Source organism: Homo sapiens, chromosome 6 (genome assembly GCF_000001405.40).
Source record: "Homo sapiens chromosome 6, GRCh38.p14 Primary Assembly".
Classification (NCBI taxonomy): Eukaryota; Metazoa; Chordata; class Mammalia; order Primates; family Hominidae; genus Homo; species Homo sapiens.
Window position 1 is genome coordinate 108,309,563 of NC_000006.12, and position 18,464 is coordinate 108,328,026.

The 18,464-nt window shown below is 42.8% G+C and overlaps 1 protein-coding gene and 1 pseudogene across 12 annotated transcripts in view; both read left to right on the plus strand.

Annotated features, from left to right (window-relative positions):
- AFG1L (AFG1 like ATPase) overlaps nucleotides 1–18,464 on the plus strand; it is a 230,948-nt gene that overhangs the window by 14,509 nt on the left and 197,975 nt on the right. For 7 of the 12 annotated variants that reach the window (XR_007059229.1, NM_145315.5, NM_001323005.2 and 4 more), the window contains exon 2: nucleotides 14,263–14,486. The exons of 1 other annotated variant lie outside the window; for it this stretch is intronic. Coding sequence is in view for 8 of the 11 variants with exons in the window: in NM_145315.5 (NP_660358.2) it covers nucleotides 14,263–14,486 (224 nt within the window). In the remaining 3 variants the exon portion in view is untranslated. Of the gene's footprint in view, nucleotides 1–3,368; nucleotides 3,425–6,859; nucleotides 8,812–10,054; nucleotides 10,230–14,262; nucleotides 14,487–18,464 lie in introns of those variants that run through there. 4 more of the 12 variants (XM_005266885.4, XM_047418557.1, XM_047418559.1 and 1 more) reach the window with 4 other exon arrangements.
- On the plus strand, nucleotides 8,490–8,901 carry RPL36AP24 (ribosomal protein L36a pseudogene 24; annotated as a pseudogene).

An 18,464-nucleotide genomic window follows, 5' to 3' on the forward strand; every position in this document is an offset into this window, starting at 1 on the left:
TATAAAATTTAAAAAGGATACTTGATTCTGCTATTGGAAAACTGTTCACCTATTGGAAAACTTTTAAATATTCTTGGAACATCTTGGGAAAGTGAATCTACTTTTTCTCAACTGTAGGTTTTATGAAGTCTAAATACAGATTAAATATTTCCAATGAAAATTTAGCTTCCAAATTGAGATGTGTTGCAGGTGTCAAATACTTTAAGACCTAATAGAAAAAAGAACACAAAATATCTTATTAATAATTAAAAAATTTTTATTATATGTTGATTACATGCCAATTACAATTCTTGATGTCAACATCTCTCAGGGGTCTGAGATTTTTACCCAGCTTGCAAGACAACACTTTAGCCTGTTACTGTTTCATGGATGTTGGAAAAAGACATGGAACTCCTGGATCAGAGATAAAGAACTTTATCATGGACTAGCAGGCAACGTGAGCTTTATGTGTGCCTCAGTTCCCCTTTTTCCTCAAGTCCCATGGGGCTATTCAGAGATCGGTCCAGGTGGGTGATGTATACTCAGCAGGTTTGTGTCACGGTTCAGGAACCCCAAGCTTAGGAAACCTCATCTTTTATAAGGGTTGCAAACAAGCCTTCCCGGCTTTTGACCTGGGGGAGACGTTATTATACTAGACAGCAAACAAGCCTGCAACATTTACATTTCCATCAGCAGTGTCTGAGGTTCTAATTTCTCTGCATCTTCTCTAACACTAGTTATTGTCTGTCTTTCTTATCATTGCGATCCTAGTAGATGTGAAATGGTATCTCATTTTAGTTTTGATTTATATTTCCCAGGTGACTAATGATATTGAGTATCATTTCATGTGTTTATTGACCATTTATATATCTTTGGAGAAATGTCTACTTAAATCCTTTGTCCATTTAAAAATTGCATTTGTCTTTTTATTGTTGAATTGTAAAAGTTCTTTATATATTCTGGATGCAGATTCCTTATCAGAGATGTGATTTGCAAATATTTTCTTCCATTCTGTGGGTTGTATTTTCACCTTCTTTTTTTTTTTTTTTTTGAGACAGAGTCTTGCTCTGTCACCTAGGCTGGAGTACAGTGGGGTGATCTCAGCTCACTGCAACCTCCACCTCCCGGGCTCAAGTGATTCTCGTGCCTCAGCCTCCGGGGTAGCTGGGAGTACAGGCGTGTGCCACCACACCCGGCTAATTTTTGTATTTTTATTGGTGATGGGGTTTCGCCATGTTGGCCAGGCTAGTCTCAAACTCCTCGGCTCTGAAGCAATCCTCCCACTTAAACCCCTTGAGTAGCTGAAGGTACAGGCAAGTGTGTCATTGTGCCTGGAAGTTAATATTATTTTTATTCTAGAATTCTTATTGTAACGGTGAATGGGATCCTTTTTTTTCTATTGTATTTTCCAACTGGTTATCTATGGTATGCTGAAAGATTAAGATAGTAAAATGTGTTTCTCTGTTTCCAGTATCCTTCTTTTTGGCTTAAGAGAAGGCATAAGCCACTGCATTCTTTAAAACTTTTAAGTGGCTCCTGTGGCCTTTAAGGGTTAAATTCAAACTGCTTATCATTGCAATGCTCTGCCTCACCGGGCTCCCTTGTACTCCTCCAGTAGTTCATCTCTTACCTCTCTCCGCCTTTCACTTTACGTCTCAGCCAAACTGAACTTGTTCTGTTTTTTCTAGTGTTCCACACTGTCGTGTTTCTGGGCCTTCTTTCAGGCTAGTACATCTCCCTCCTTCCTTCCCTCCCTTTCCATGGCACACTTCTGTCTGCCCTTCTGATCTCAATGGAAACATCATTTCCTCTGAGTACCCTTCCTAAACTCCCTAACCTAGATTACTAGCTTTGGCCCTGTGATCTTACAGCATCTGCCCGTTCCCCTTATGACATACCATACACTTTATTAGAGTTGTTTATCCACTTATTTGTGTCTACCTTTTGTTTTGTTTTGTTTTCTTTTTTTGCTTGTTTGTTTTGTTTTTGTTTTTCTTTTTTTTGAGATAGATGTGTTGGTGTGTTGCCCAGGCTGGTCTTAAACTCCGGGGCTCAAGCGATCCTCCCGCCTCAGCCTCCTGAGTAGCTGGGATTACAGATGCACTCCACCAAGCCCAGCTGTCACTGCTTTGAGTGCAGTTAACAGCATCCATCCAGCTCGCCACTGATTGTATTTGCAGTTTCTAGCACAGAGCTTTGTACACTATAGACGCTTTATCATTATTTTTGAACCATTTATTACTTCACTAAACTCTCCATTTTATACTTTTTAAAACTGATTCTTTCCAGGATAATTAAGTTATTTATTTATTTATGTATTTTATTTTATTTTATTTTTTTTGAGACAGCGTCTTGCTCTGTTGCCCAGGCTTGAGTAAAGTGGTACGATCTCTGCTCACTGCAACCTATGCCTCCTGGGTTCAAGTGATTCTCATGCCTCAGCCTCCCGAGTAGCTGGGATTACAGGCATGTGCCATCATGCCCGACTAATTTTTGTATTTTTAGTAGAGATGGGGTTTCACCATGTTGGCCAGGCTGATCTTGAACTCCTAACCTCAGAGGATCCGCCTGCCTTGGCCTCCCAAAGTGTTGGGATTACAGGCGTGAGCCATCGTGCCCGGCCTAAAATATAATTTTAAAAAGAAAATGTTTACTTTCTGTTGAAAGATTCTGGTCCCTCATTTTTCCTAAGTTTCTAAAGCATATCAAATATAGAGGCCAGGCAAGTGGCTCATACCTGTGATCCCAGCACTTTGGGAGCCGGAGGCAGGAGGATCACTTGAGGCTAGAAGTTCAAGACCAGCTTGGGCAACATAGTGAGACCCTGTCTCTACAAAAAAGTAAAAAAAATAAAAAATTACCCAGGCATGTAGTGTGTACCTGTAGTCCCAGCTACTGGGGAGACTGAGTTGAGAGAATCACTTGAACCCAGGAGTTGAGCCCAGGAATTTGAGGCTGCAGTGCTATGCTTGAGCCACTGCACTCTAGCCTGGACGAAGAGAGAGACCTTGTCTCTAAAATAAAGTAATAATAATAAAAAAGAATATCAATACAATAAAGATATTGAATCCAGTCCAACTTAAAGCACCAAAGAACACATAGGCCCCATATTCCCTTTGCTATTATCACCCTAGCTATGTGGAAACAGTGTCAATACAATTAAGCTTTATGACATATGTCAAGATTAAGATTATCTTGCCTGTGTCAACAATGTTTCCCCTTATGTTTTTTTTTTGGTTGTGAGGTAGAGTCTCACTCTGTTGCCCAGGCTACAGTGCAGTGGTGCTATCATAGATCATAGTTCACTGTGGCCTTGAACTCCTGTGCTCTAGTGATCCTCCCACCTTGGCTTCCTAAAGTGCTGGGATTACAGGTATGAGCCACTGCACCCAGCCTTCCTCTCATGTTCTTAAGATGCAGCAGTCCAGGTATCCTGATTTCACAGGTAGAAGTACAAAGGCAGGAAGGAGCACGTCCCTGTCTTGGTCTCCTTTTGAAGAGTATCGGGGAAGACTTTGCCAGAAGCTAACTTCCCCATTAGGCATCACTGGCCAGGGTGGTGATCACATGCTCAGTCCACCATGGAGAACAACGTTATCATGATTTAGAGCTGAAACGGTGGAGTCAGGTGAGGAATCTGGAGGTTATTATTCCAGAGCCCACATTCCTTCCACTATTATAACATCCTGCCTTCCTACTATACTGGGGGCCACAGATGCCACTTCCTGGCTTTGGGAACATGGACAAGTTACTTTGCCTCTCTGTGCCTCAGTTTCTTCATCTTTAAAGTAGGGATAATATTAGTACCTACCTCAAAGGGTAGTTGTGAAGATCGAATCAGTTAATGTACAGACATTCCTTAGAAAAGTAACCTGGTACTTAGTAAATACTCAGTAAAGGTTAACAATTGCTACTGTTAGTAACTACATGATCTTGGTCTATTAACCTACAATGCTAACTCCCTGGCCCAAATCATAGACATTGCTTTCTCTCTTTCTTTTATTTATTTTCTTTAAGACAGGGTCTCACTCTGTTGCCCAGGCTGTGGAGTGCAGTGACATAATCACGGCTCACTGCAGCCTTAACCTTCCTGGGCTCAAGTGATTCTCCCATCTCAGTCTCCTGTGTAGCTGGTACAAAGGTGTGCACCACCACACCTGGCTAAGTTTTGTATTTTTTGTAGAGACGGGGTTTCACCATGTTGCCTAGGCTGGTCCTGAACTCCTGGACTCCAGTGATCTGCCTGCTTCGGCCTCCCAAATTGCTATGATTACAGGCATGATCCACTGAGTCCAGCCCATAGATATCTCTTAACTCAACTATTTGAATAGTCTCCTAATTTCTACTTCCACATAAAAAAATACATAGTAGTTTTATTGAAAATAATTCACAGCTGGGTGCAGTGGCTCATGCCTGTAATCTGAGCACTTTGGGAGGCCAAGGCGAGTGGATCACCTGAGGTCAGGAGTTTGAGACCAGCCTGGCCAACATGGCCAGACCATGGCCAACATGACCCCATCTCTACTAAAAATACAAAAAATTAGCCAGACGTGGTGGCGGGTGCCTGTAATCCCAGCTACTTAGGAGGTTGAGGTGGGAAAATTGCTTGAACCCGGAAGGTGGAGGTTGCAGTCAGCTGAGATCGCTCCATTGTACTGCAGTCTGGGCAACAAGGGCGGAACTCTATCTCAAAAAAAGAAAAAAAAAGATAAGAAAATAATTCACATACTATATAATTCACACATTCTGCTTCCACTTTGCATTCCTAGTCTTATTTTCTAAAGCAATCTTTTATTATCAAGCCTTATTATCTTCAATAATATCTTGTACCCTGATCAAAACCTTCTGCTTCTTCTTTTTTTTTTTTTTTTAAGAGATAGAGTCTCGCTCTGTCGCCCAGGCTGGAGTGCTGTGGTGCGATCTAGGCTCACTGCAACCTCCACCTCCCAGGTTCAAGCAGTTCTCCTACCTCAGCCTCCCTGGTAGCTGCGACTACAGGCACATGCTGCCATGCCCGGCTAATTTCTTTTGTGTTTTAGTAGAAACGGGGTTTCACCGTGTTGCCTAGGCTGGTCTCAGACTCCTGAGCTCAGGCCATCCGCCCGCCTCGGCCTCCCAAAATTGCTAGGATTACAGGCGTGAGCCACCACTCCAAACCCCTTCTGCTTCTTAGAGGGGTTAAGTTTAATAATAATAAAAAAAGGAAATCAAAACAAAACAGAAAAACCTCCTTGTTCTCAATCCTACTTACAAAATCTGCCTTACTTACCATGGCTTTTAAGGCCCTACGTCATTTAGTGCTTGTACTTTTTTTTTTTGAGACAGTGTCTTGCTCTCACCCAGGCTAGAGTGCAGTGGGGTGATCTTGGCTCATGCAAACTTTGCCTCCTGGGTTCAAGTGATTCTTGTGCTGCAGCCACATGAGTAGATGGGGTTACAGGCATGCACTAGCATGCCCAGCTAATTTTTTTGTATTTTTAGTAGAGACGAGGTTTCACCATGTTGGCCAGGCTGGCTTTAAGTGATCACCGCCCGCCTCAAGTGATCTGCCTGCCTCGAACTCCTGGCCTCAAGTGATCTGCTGGCCTTAGCCTCCCAAAGTATTGGGATTACAGGTGTGAGCCACTGTGCTGGGCCTCTTATTGTCCTTTCCAACCTCTTCTTGTAGCACATACTCTACCTTGCTCATTTGCATCAACTATATAAACTTCCTTTCTCTTCCCTTGAAAATGTGAAGCTTATTTCCATTTCTACTTTGCCTCATCTATAACCTTAGGCTGGGATGTTATTGATATTTCTCATGGGTGACTCCTTTTGGCATTCGGGTGTCAACTTAATGTGTTTTTCACAGAAAGGCTTTTTCCTGATAATCTGTAGGAGTCTCTGGTCATTCCCTGGCACAGTGCTTCTCAACCTTTAATGTGCATGTAAAACACCTAAGTATTTTGTTGAAAATGCAAATTTTGATTCAGAGGGCTGGGGTAGGGCCTCAGATTCTGTATGCCTTCCTTCCTTCCTTGTTCTCTTTTCTTTCCTTCCTTTTTTGTTGCTTTTTTAGAGATAGGGGCTTCCTTTGTTGCCCAGGCTGGAGTGCAGTGTTATAATCATAGCTCACTGTAACCTCAAACTCCTGGTCTCAAGTGATCAGCCTCCCACAGTGCTGAGATTACAGGCATGAGCCACTGTGCCCAGCCCAACAGTTCTTTTTTAAACAGTGGTTCTTGGGCTGGATGTGGTAGCTCATGCCTGTAATTCCAGATCTTTGGGAGGCCAAGGCTGAAGGATCGTTTGAGCCCAGGAGTTTAAGACCAGCCTGGGCAACACAGGTAGAACCCCTCTCTACAAAAAATGAAACGTGAGCCAGGAATGGTGGTGTGCACCTGTAGTCCCAGCTACTCAGGAGAATGGAGGGGAAGGATAGCTTGAGCCTGGAAGGTTGAGGCTGCAGTGAGCCATGATCATGCCACTGCACTCCAGCATAGGCCACAGAATGAGAGACCCTGCTTAAAAAAAAATTATAAAACATTGGTTCTTATCTTGTTTAAAAATCGGAAAGTTGGCCGGGCGCGGTGGCTGACGCCTGTAATCCCAGCACTTTGCGAGGCCGAGGCGGGCGGATCACGAGGTCAGGAGATCGAGACCATCCTGGCTAAAACGGTGAAACCCCGTCTCTACTAAAAATACAAAAAATTAGCCGGGCGTAGTGGCGGGCGCCTGTAGTCCCAGCTACTTGGGAGGCTGAGGCAGGAGAATGGCGTGAACCCGGGAGGCGGAGCTTGCAGTGAGCCGAGATCCCGCCACTGCACTCCAGCCTGGGCGACAGAGCGAGACTCCGTCTCAAAAAAAAAAAAAAAAAAAAAAAAAAAATCGGAAAGTTGTATATTTAAAGGACTTGCCTCAGATTAAACATACTCACACATAATTTTCTTTCTTTTATAGAACTCATAAATTAATTGACAAATAATTGTATATATTTATGGGGTACACTCTGATTTTTTTTTTTTTTTTTTGAGATAGAGTCTCACTCTGTTGCCCAGGCTGGAGTGCAGTGGTGCGATCTCGGCTCACTGCAAGCTCCGCCTCCCAGGTTCACGCCCTTCTCCTGCCTCAGCCTCCGAGTAGCTGGGACTACAGGCACCTGCCACCACGCCTGGCTAATTTTTTGTATTTTTAGTAGAGACGGGGTTTCACCGTGTTAGCCGGGATGGTCTCAATCTCCTGACCTCGTGATCTGCCCGCCTTGGCCTCCCAAAGTCCTGGGATTACAAGCATGAGCCACCGCGCTCGGCCCGCTCTGATGTTTTAACAGATATATATGTTCTAGAAAGATTAAATCAAGTTAATAACATCCATCACCTCAACTCCTTATCATATGTTTGTGATGAGACCATTTAAAATCCATTATTAATTTTGAAATATACAATATACAATTTTCTTTTAATTTCAAGAGGCTCCAAGACACGTACCTCCCCTTAAGTCTGTCTTGGATGCCAACTCAGACCTTGTTAAGAAAAAAAAGCCCTATATTTATTATATAACAATTCTTGTAAGGATATCAGTGACAATTTGGATTGCCTCTTCTTTTTGGATGGTGCTATTAAGAAGAACATGATTATGAATTTGTAATTACCTGTTTACTGCACAGGCAAAATCAATCCCCTGAGACTGTGGCATTGCAGTAGAGAAAAGAGTTTAACTGATGCAAGGCAGTCCCACACAGGAGAACTGGAGTTATCCCTCAAATCAGTCTCTCTGCAGGCTTCGAGCTGAGGGTTTTTATGGACAATTTCACGGGCAGGGGGCTAGGGAATGGCACTGTTGATTGGTTGGGGATGAAATAATAGGGGTGTGGAAATCGATCCTCATGCACTGAGTCCAACTGTGGGTGGGACAACAGGACCAGTTGAGTCATGAGTCATGAGTCCAGGTGGGGTCAGTCTGAAAGACATTTCAGCAAAACCAATCTTAGGTTCTATAACAGTGATATTATTTGTAGAAGCAGTTGGAGAAGTCACAAATCTTGTGACCTCTGGCCACATGACCCCTGAGCAGTAAGGGATTGTAGAAACTTGGCCTACACTTTAGCAGAGTTCAGGCTCCTCTCATAATTTTATTCTTGTAGGCTTTCATTAGTCTTACAAAGGTGGCTTTTGGTTTTTGAGAAATGGTGGGGTTAGCCTAAGGGAGGGAGCAATAATATTGTCGTCATTATTTTAAAGTTAAACTGTAAACTAAATTCATCCTAAAGTTAGCTTGGCCTGTGCCCAGGAATGATCAGGCAGAGCTTGGAGGTCAGAAGCAAGGTGGAGTCAACTATGTCAGATTTCTCTTACTGTCATAGTTTTGTAAAGACAGTTTCAGTTTATTATATATTATTTGTTTAATGTAGTAAGATTAGTTAAGGGGAGCATATCAGCATAAACTTGGGACTCCACAGCTTCAGGAGAATTTTATTTGTTCCAAACTTATATTTTAAAGTGAAAATGGAAAAATTGAAGGAAATCATGTGTTTTCTTGTAGATAGCATTCCCATAAACATGGTGAATGTCTCTAAAACCCTCTAGACTTTCTGTAACATGTGTGGCATGTGCCAAGTACCAACTTCATGCCAAGATCAGGATAAGAAGGGCAAGGATTCTCTGTGTGCCCAAGGAAAGTGGCGTTATGATAGGAAGCAGAGTGGCTATCATCATCATAGGCAGACTAAGCTGATTTTCCAGAAAAAGGCTAAAACACAAAGAAGACTGTGCTGAGCTTGAATGCGTTGAGCCCAACTGCAGATCTAAGAGAATGCTGGCCATAAGAGATGCAAGCATTTTGAACTGGGAAGAGGTAAGAGAAAGGCCAAGTGTTGATCTAGTTTCTAAGTATCATCTTTTGTTTTATTATGCAGATAATAAAATCTTGAGGTTACATTTACTTAAAAAAGTTGGAGAAAATAAAAGTAATTACGACTATACACAAAGCCTGAGGAAACTCATTTTTTCCCTGGGGAAAGTAAAACTAAATAGGAGTAATTTTTACCATAACAAGGAAGTTTTAATAGGTTATTCAGATGTAGGACACAAGATATTGATTAAATCTTTTAGAAAGTGGGCTGTGGAGTATAGTAGGATCTTCCTGAAACTTAGTTTAGGAGAATATAGTGAAATAAGGTACAAAATTGAAGTATTCGAAAGAATAGCGCAGACTTTTTGGGTTCCTAAAATCTTTCATTTATGTTTGTAAATTAGTGTGTGGAACTTCCGAATGGCATTTTCCCACTGTCCATTTGGAGTACAATAAGACAAATTAATACAAATCAAAATAATATGGCAGCAGCATCACATAATTTGTGTACACTGATGTAGTAACAGATTTAATTTAATGCAGCTTTTGAGAAGTCTTTTGTATTTCAATTTATACAGCTGCTATCCAGGGCTAAGCTGGCCAATCTGTCAGCCTTGAGTATCTTGCCTGACTGATTCTCTTTTTATCTCTGCTGACTAGCTGAATTTATGCCTCATCTTCACTGTACCTTGGTTTTCTTTTCCAAAAACTGGGAATGAAGTCTACACTATTAAATCAAGATGTTAGGCTAGTGAAAATAAAAGTAGAAGGACTTTAAGCCTCTCCAAAGGCAGATGCCAAGATAAACAGTACGTTTTACCCACAATACTGATATTTCCTATGAATAACTTTTAAACACTTTAAAATTAATTAATTAATTAATTTGTTTAGACAGGGTCTCGTTCTGTCACCCAGACAGGAGTGCAGTAGCATGATCTCCACTCACTGCAGCCTCAACCTCCCAGGCTCAAGTTATCCTCCCACCTTAGCCCTCCGAGTAGCAATAGTTCCTAGTAGTAGTAATCCCTATAGGACTAGAGGCATATACCATTATGCCTGGCTAATTAAAAATTTTTTTTTTTCCATCTGTAAAGACAGAGGTTTCACTATGTTTCCCAGGCTGGTCTCGAGCTCCTGGGCTCAAGAGATCTTTTCACCTCAGCTTCCCAAAGTGCTGGGATTACAGGCGTGAGCCACTGTGCTTGGCCAAAACAATTTTTATTTATCTTATTTTTATTTTTTTTAGAGATGAGGTCTTGCTATGTTGCCAAGGCTGGAGTGCAGTGGCCATTCACAGGTATGATCATGGTGCTCTGCAGCCTCCAACTTTTGGTTTCAAGGGATCCTCCTGCCTCAGCCTCCCAAGTAGCTGGGACTACAGATGTGTGCCACTCCACCCAGCCTCAACTTTAAAAAATTAGGTATTATTTATTTATTTATTTATTTTGAGACATAAGTAAATATGCTCTGTGGATGGTAGTCTCAGGCCTGTTGTGTTAACCCTTTTCTGCACATTATTTGTACTAAATATAATCCTCTGAAGTGAGGCTGTTGGGAAATAGGGGTGGTGTGGGTATGTGAATGAGGGGGATATGAAAAGGGTGGGACTTTGTGCCCCCCTTTCCACTTTTCTCTTTAATAAATTGAGGATTCTATGGAAGATTTTGTATGTAAAAAAGGTACAGCTATTAAAAAATAAAGTTGGAAAACCACTCCTTTAAACAATGAGACGAATTTCAAGCCAAAGATTGATAAAATCACATTTGGATTTTAGTAAGATCAGCCCTGGAGTTGGCAGAAGATATTTGACAGATCATGGTAGTGGTAAATTTGGCACAGTGGTGGTGATCAGAGTCATACATCAGTACATGGAGGCTATACATTGATTTGACCTAAAATAGTGGGACATCTTGAAGGGAGTGGCCCGCCGGTCAAAGCTGGATTAAAAGATTTTCTGATTTGCAATTGGTTAAGGAAACAAAGCTTTGTCTAAAAATTTCGGGTCAACAGAAAAGAATGTTAGCTCTGGCTGGTGAGCATAACCTCCTCCAGGCCCCTCAGGAAGAAATTTAGAACAAAGAATAGTGGTCAGAATTCAGTCCTCTGTTCCCCCTTATCTGAGGTCTGTGTGCCAGTGGATCCATTTGGTAGGGGTTGGAGTTTCTGAAAAACAACTCAGTGACATGTATTAAGATGTTATCTTTAGTTTCTATAGGGAACATCTCTAACCTCTTTGGCCATGATTTTGAGCTTCTATTATCTTCTTGCTTATCAAGTGGCTCATTTACTTCTCAGGGCTAGCTAGGTGTCTGGAATTTCCCTTGAAGAAATTCCAGGTTTTTCTTTATTTCCACGTTGCAGGGGGCATGGCAGGCCCTAAGAGAGACCCCTGCTTCCTTTAAAGGGCTCAAGCTGGGGTGGTAGGATGAGGAAGGAGAGGAGGGAATGAATTAGAGAGTATTTCGCATACAAAATTGAGTAGCATCGATGATTGATTGGCTGAGAACCTGGTTGAGGAGAACAGGATTGTGGGAGGAAGAGGAATATATCAGTAATCACCCTGAAGTTTCTCACTTGGTTGACTCCAGAAGTCTAAAAGAGGGGGTGGAGAAGAGCGTTTTTCTCTTGTGAGATTCTCAAATCCTGTAACACTAACTGGGTATTCAACAGTTCAATTTGATTCTGGCACTCTTTATTTGAAGTGAGCATCAGATCCCACAAGTAAAAGGGCTCAGTCCCATAGAATGTCCCCACTTCACATGCCAGCTGCAAATGGGGTATACAGGCTACCCACATATCTACCTGGCAACTACAAATTTGGGAATTCCCATAGCCTTCCTCCCCTTTAGATTTGATAATTTGCTAGAATAGCTCACAGAACTCAGGGGAAAATTTTGCTTATGTTTACTGATTTATGATAAAGCATACAATTCAGGGAGCCCAGTAGAAGAGATGGCCTAGGGGGATACCTAGAGGTTGAACGCACCTAGATGTGTTCACCAACCCAGAAGTTCTCCAAGTCTCCTTGAGTGTTTACAGAGCTCAATCTCTAACCCCACCTTCCTGGGGTCAGTGCGTGGGGCTGAAAGTTCCAACCTTCTACCCACTTGGTCCTTCTGGCTACCAGCCTCACCCTAGAGTCACCTCCTTAACATAAACTCAGGTGTGATGCAATGAATAACAGAAAACACTCCTATTACTCAGGAAATTCCAAGGGTTTTAGGAACTCTGTGCCAAGAACCAGGGACAAAGATCAAATATATTTCTTATTATGCCACACTGGCAAATATCTCAAATTGCCGGGAACATTTAGGAACTCTCAACCTGCATCTCCAGCTTCAACATTGAACCCAAACCTTATCCTGGTACTGTGAGGCCTAGTGTTCCAGGATACCCTTAGATTCTGTTTTACAGGCCTTAAGCAACTATATCAGTTAGGGTACAACTTAGGCTTCTGTAACAGAGACCCCAATTATACACTACTTTAAAAGCAAGATAGAAGTTTATTACTCCCTTTTAATTTCTTTTGGAGAGAGAGTCTCACTCTGTTGCCCGGGCTGGAGTGCAGTGGTGTAGGTCATAGCTCACTGCAGCCTCAAACTCCTGGGCTTAAGCCGTCCTCCTACCTCAGCCTCCCCAAGTAGCTGGGACTACAGGCACATGCTAATTTTAAGCCTGGCTAATTAAAAACAAATTTTTTTTAAATTTGTTATTTTTAGTAGAGATGAGGTCCTACTATGTTGCCCAGGCTGGTCTCGAACTCCTGAGCTCAAGTGATCTGCCTGTCTCAGCCTCCCAAAGTGCTAGGATTACAGGTGTGAGCCACTGTGCCTGGCCGGAAGTTTATTATTCTTTTACATAAAAATCCAGGTAGGCAATCCAAAGCTGGTTTGGCAGCTCAGCATTGTTGGAGAACCAGGCTTTGTGTATCTTGTTGCTCTGCTTCATTCAACATTCTGTGTGCATCTCATTGCCTCTTCCAGCTGCAGTCATTACACTTTCACTCCAGTTAGAGAGAAGGGAGGAAAAGGGAGCCAGGAGGATATGCCCTTTTCCTTTAATGGGGTATGTCAGAACTACACACGTTTCTGCTCATATCCCATTGTTAGAACCTGCTCACATGGCCATACCTGACTGCAAGAGAGGCCAGGAGATGTAATATGTGTCTGGGCAGCCATGCATCCAGCTAAAACTTCTATTTAGAAAGGTGGAACAAATAATGGAAGACAGCCGTCCCTATCTCCAACATTCATGATATATTTAAGGACTTTTCCCCCTCTTTTGGGGAAAACATGGACCTAACATTGTGATTGTTAATTCTTTTTGCTAAAGTAATTTTTATGTTATTGTGACAAAGGAAACATGATGTTCAATGAAATGAATAAAATGCTGGCAGAGTACCTTTGGGAAATCTTGTTCTGAAAAATGTGCCAGGTTGCTGCTGTTTATTGTTGCTTCTAAACAGTAGAGAAGGAGTTAGCTGCTTATTAAACCTGCCCCACATAAGGAATGGAATTATGGTTGGACCTCGCCACAATCATTTCTCTCCCAGGAGAGGCCAAAAATAGGATCAGAACACCACCCTGCTTTGAAGCAGACACTCTTGCTGTGTCTCAATTCCATGTCCAACTCCGTAAAGGTTATGGAAAACAGAAAAAGATCTCAGAAGCAGAGGGCTGAAATCGATGTGGTAATATCTGAATGTTATGTTGTCTTTGAGTAGAGAATTAAGGAACAGTGGAAAACCCTTGGGACTAGTCTTCACGTCTTTGTCTTGGTGCTTAAGAACCAGAATTAGGGTTTACTCAAAGAAAGGCAACTCTCTTGCTTTGGGAAGGAGATGAGGAACCCCAGTGTCTCCTTCAGTGGACTGGAAGCAAAGCAGAAGCTGTAGTAGGAATAGGCCTTCTGGAAGAGAGGTTACAATTATAGTTTATGGGTTTGGGGTTTGTTTCCTTTTGTTAAAATAAAACAATTAGAAATATATTCATTGTTTAATTATTTTTTTTTTGAGACCGAGTGTCACTCTGTCACCCAGGCTGGAGTACAGTGGCACAATCTCTGCTCACTTCATCCCCTGCCTCCCAGGTTCAAGCAATTCGTGCCTCAGCCCCCCAGGTAGCTGGGATTACAAGCATGCACCACCATGCCCAGCTAATTTTTGTGTTTTTAGTAGAGATGTGGTTTCACCATTTGGCCAGGATGATCTTGAACTCCTGACCTCAAGTGATCTGCCTGCCTTGGTCTCCCAAAGTGCTGGAATTACAGGCGTGAGCCACCATGCCTGGCTGAAAATGTATTTTATATTATTTTTATCAAAATGACATTTACAAAAACTGCTCCAATAGATATACTTGTAACTAGTTAAAAGTTTGAATTTGACCCTTAAGAAATGTGTAGAGCACTGTGAAAATGTATTTAAGAAAGTCTAAAATTTTATGTTTTTGTTTATAGCCTATACGGTTCAGACATCCGAGAGCATGACCCCAACTGCCACTTCAGAGACTTATTTGAAAGCTTTGGCCGTTTGCCATGGACCTCTGGACCACTATGATTTTCTGATCAAAGCTCATGAGCTAAAGGATGATGAACATCAAAGAAGAGTCATACAGTGTTTGCAGAAATTACACGAGGACCTTAAAGGATACAATATAGAGGCAGAAGGCCTTTTTTCAAAGGTGAGGCTTGTGTGATATGAAAGATTAAACAGTTAAAAGTGTAAGCATTTTCTAAAATGGATGCAATGCAGTAGGACACAATCATGAAACATCTTGAAAAATTTTCACCAGTTCCTTTACACAAATTCTGTTGGATCCCCATTCCTGGCCTTTTGATGTTCCATAGCTTTCTTTTGCCTTCAGGGGTTTGAATAGCTTCATATTTAGGTATTTAAAAAATGCAGTCCAGTCTAAATAAAAACTTCTATGGAAATTAAAGCTTTCCCTTTCCTCTAGCTCAGGCCTCATCCAGGGATCAGCAGTGGAAAAGGAGGAGTGATGTGTTCTTTCCCTTTTCTTCCTCCTTCTTTCTCTGTTTGCCTGACATCTCTAGGGTCAGAATGAGAAGAATGAAAGATTAGAGTGAAACAGCAGCCTTAAGTGACCAGTTAGTTACTGGGGCCTTTGTATGGTAGATGCTGACGTGCTAGCTCTTTGTTGAGGGTCTTATTGGTGGGTTCTTCAAGACTCCCATGGGGACCTCCACACTTCTCCAGTCTTTGACTAACCTCTTATGACTCTGGGGAAGCAACTCACAACCCTGCATTCTGCCGACACCGCCTTGCTCTTGCCCTTAGCCTTCTTGGGTGGGGTCCTTTCAGGACTTTTTTTTTTTTTTTTTGAGACAGAGTCTCGCTCTGTCACTTGGGCTGGAGTGCAGTGGCACGATATCTTGGCTCCTGGCAACCTTTGCCTCCTGGATTCAAGCGATCGTCCTGCCTCAGCCTCCCAAGTAACTGGGTAACAAGCGTGGACCACCACACTCAGCTAATTTTTGTATTTTTAGTAGAGACGGGGTTTCACCATGTTGGCCAGGCTGGTCTTGAACTCCTGACCTCAAGTGATCCACCTGTCTCGGCCACCCAAAGTGCTGGGATTACAGGTGTGAGCCACTGTGCCTGGCCTGGGACATTTCTTATTGGGTCATCTTTTATGGTGTCCGTGCAGGCCACAGGAAACATAACATCTCCTTTCGCCACCCCTTGCTGCATGGGCAGCCTCAGTCAGCCTCCTGTCCTCAGACTTCTGCAAGCAAGAAGCAGGCACTGGTTTCTGTCTTTGTCATGCATACCCCTTTCTCCTGGGGACTTATATCAAGTTCTCCCATGAACTCTTCCACACTCTGCTCTGGCAGCTGCTTGTGCATTTCCTTACCTAGGCAAGCATCCAGCTGGGGAGAGCGATGTCCATCTCAATTTATATTCAATCCTCATCTCTTTGGATGCTTCTCTTGGGAACCCCTCGTATTTGTTACGAGATATCTGAAGGGCACACCATGGCACTCTACCCAGCTAACTTTCTACCTTGATCACTTTCTTCAGTTTCACTTTGGTTTTAGGGCTGTTTTGCCTTTTTTTTTTTTTTAAACCTAATTCCTGCATGGATGTGACTAGTGTGTATTTATTTATTTATTTATAGATGGATTTTTGCTCTATTGCCCAGGCTAGAGGGCAGTGGTGTGATCTTGGCTCACTGCAACCTCCACCTCCCAGGTTCAAGCAGTCCTCCTGCTTCAGCCTCCTGAGTAGCTGGGATTACAGGCACACACCACCACACCTAGCTAATTTTTGTGCTTTTAGTAGAGATGGGGTTTCACCATGTTTGTCAGGCTGGTCTCGAACTCCTGACCTCAGGTGATCCGCCCACCTCGGCCTCCCAAAGTGCTGGGATTACAGGCATAAGCCACTGCACCTGACCTATTTATTTATTTGAGACAGAGTGTTACTCTGTCTCCCGGGCTGAAGTGCAGTAGTGTGATATCTTGGCTCACTGTAGCCTCCGCCTCCCAGGTTCAAACGATTCTCCTGCCTCCCAAATAGCTGGGATTACAGGCACCTGCCACCATGCCTGGCTAATTTTTGTATTTTTAGTAGAGATGGGGTTTTGCCATACTGGCCGGGCTTGTCTTGAACTCCTGATCTCAAATGATCCCCCTGCTTCGGCCTCCCAAAGTGCTGGGATTACAGACATGAGCCACTGTGCCTGGCCTATTTTTTTTTGGAGATACTGTCTCATTCTGTCACCCAGGTGGGGTGCAGTAGCACAATCATAGCTCACTAGTAGCCTTGAAGTCCTGGGCCCAAGTGATTCTCCTCCCGCAGCCCCCTGAGTAGGCTAGGGCTACAGGCATGCATCACCATGCTCCACTAATTTTTTAATTTTTTTGTAGAGACAGGACCTTACTCTGTTGCCAGGCTGGTCTTGAACTTCTGGTCTTAAGCAATCCTCCTGCCTCAGCCTCTAAAGCACTGGGATAATTGGTGTGAGTCACCACACTCAGCCTATGTCTTTCTTTAGCGTGAGTGGGAGCTTATTTTCCCTGGTCATCAGCTTTGAGCTTTTGTTGAAATTCTATGACAACAGGAAAACTCCTGTTCCTTATCTAATATAGAAGCCAATAGTCTCATCTTTAAGTTCTGGAGAAAACATTAATAGTAGTAAGAGTTAAAATATGGTCCAACCTAAGAAACTAGTTTTCCTTTAATTGACTTTCCCCACCCCCTGCCAAATACGCTTTTACTGTAACGTCTTTAGAAGAAAGGCACCATAGAACAACCATTAGTAGTACTTTATTTAAAAATGAATGAGGGGCCAGACGCAGTGGCTCACGCCTGTAATCCCAGCACTTTGGGAAGCCGAGGTGGGCAGATCACCTGAGGTCAGGAGTTTGAGACCAGCCTGGCCAACATGATGAAACCCTGTCTCTACTAAAAATACAAAAATTAGCCAGGCGTGGTGGCAGGTGCCTGTAATCTCAGCTGCTCAGGAGGCTGAGGCAGGAGAATCGCTTGAATCCAGGAGGCGGAGGTTGCAGTGAGCCAAGATCACTCCAGCCTGGGTGACAGTGAGACTCCGTCTCAAAAAAAAAAAGAATAAGGGCCAGGTGTGGTGGCTGAACCTATAATCCTAGCACTTTGGGAGGCCAGGGTGGAAGGATAGCTTGAAGCCAGAAGTTTGAGATCAGCCTGGACGATATAGGGAGACCCTGTCTCTACAATACAAATAAAAAACAAACAAACAAAAAATGAATGAAAGTAATTTTACTTTTTAATAAAGCTCCTGAGAGTATAATTAATTTTATTTTTATGTAAAGAAAATGTCTTCCCATTGTGTTAACACTATTAGTTGAAAGAAATAGAGATTCATTTAGATTGCAGAAAGAAATGGAGATTTAGAATAAGATTATATAAGAACATAGCAATGAAAGGCATCTCCATGACACAGCTAGGCCTTACAGTGCTCTGCCATTCATGTCATTCATTGTCTTCGTCCACTTGGGCTTCTATAACAAAATACCATAAACTGGGTAGCTTATAAACAACAGAAAAAGATTTCTTGTAGTTCTGGGTGCTGGGAAGGCCAAGATCAAAGTGCTGGCAAATTCAGTGTCTGATGAGGGCCTGCTTAACTATTCTTGGACAGCTGTCTTTTCACTGTGTCCTCACATGGCTGAAGGGACAAATGAGCTCCCTCAGGCCTCTTTTGTAAGGGCACTAATCCAACTGAGGAGGGCCCCACTCTCATGACCTCATCACCTTCCAAAGGTCCTACCTCCTAAGAGCCTCACTTTGGGGGTTAGAACTTCAACATATGAATTTTGGGGTGATGCAAGCATTGAGACCATAGCACCCACTTATTTTGTTGTTCCTTTTCTCTCATGTCTGCTTCCACTTCTGTTCACTCTACCAACTTCTTAATTCTCTCTGTGTGTCTGTAGTTTAAATTCCTGAGTAAGGATCTCATAGGCCAACCAATGACTTCATCCCTGTTTGGGCAGAGCTTTCACATTGGGTTTCTTAGAGGCCGTTAACCAGCGTAAAGATTGGCTTACCTATGGTCCCATGCAGGGCTGCTCCTGTGAGCATGGCAGTTGCTCTCAGAAGTGGACTGTGAGTGTGGTGGGCACCATGAGTGACCAGTCCAGCACAATGGTTATAG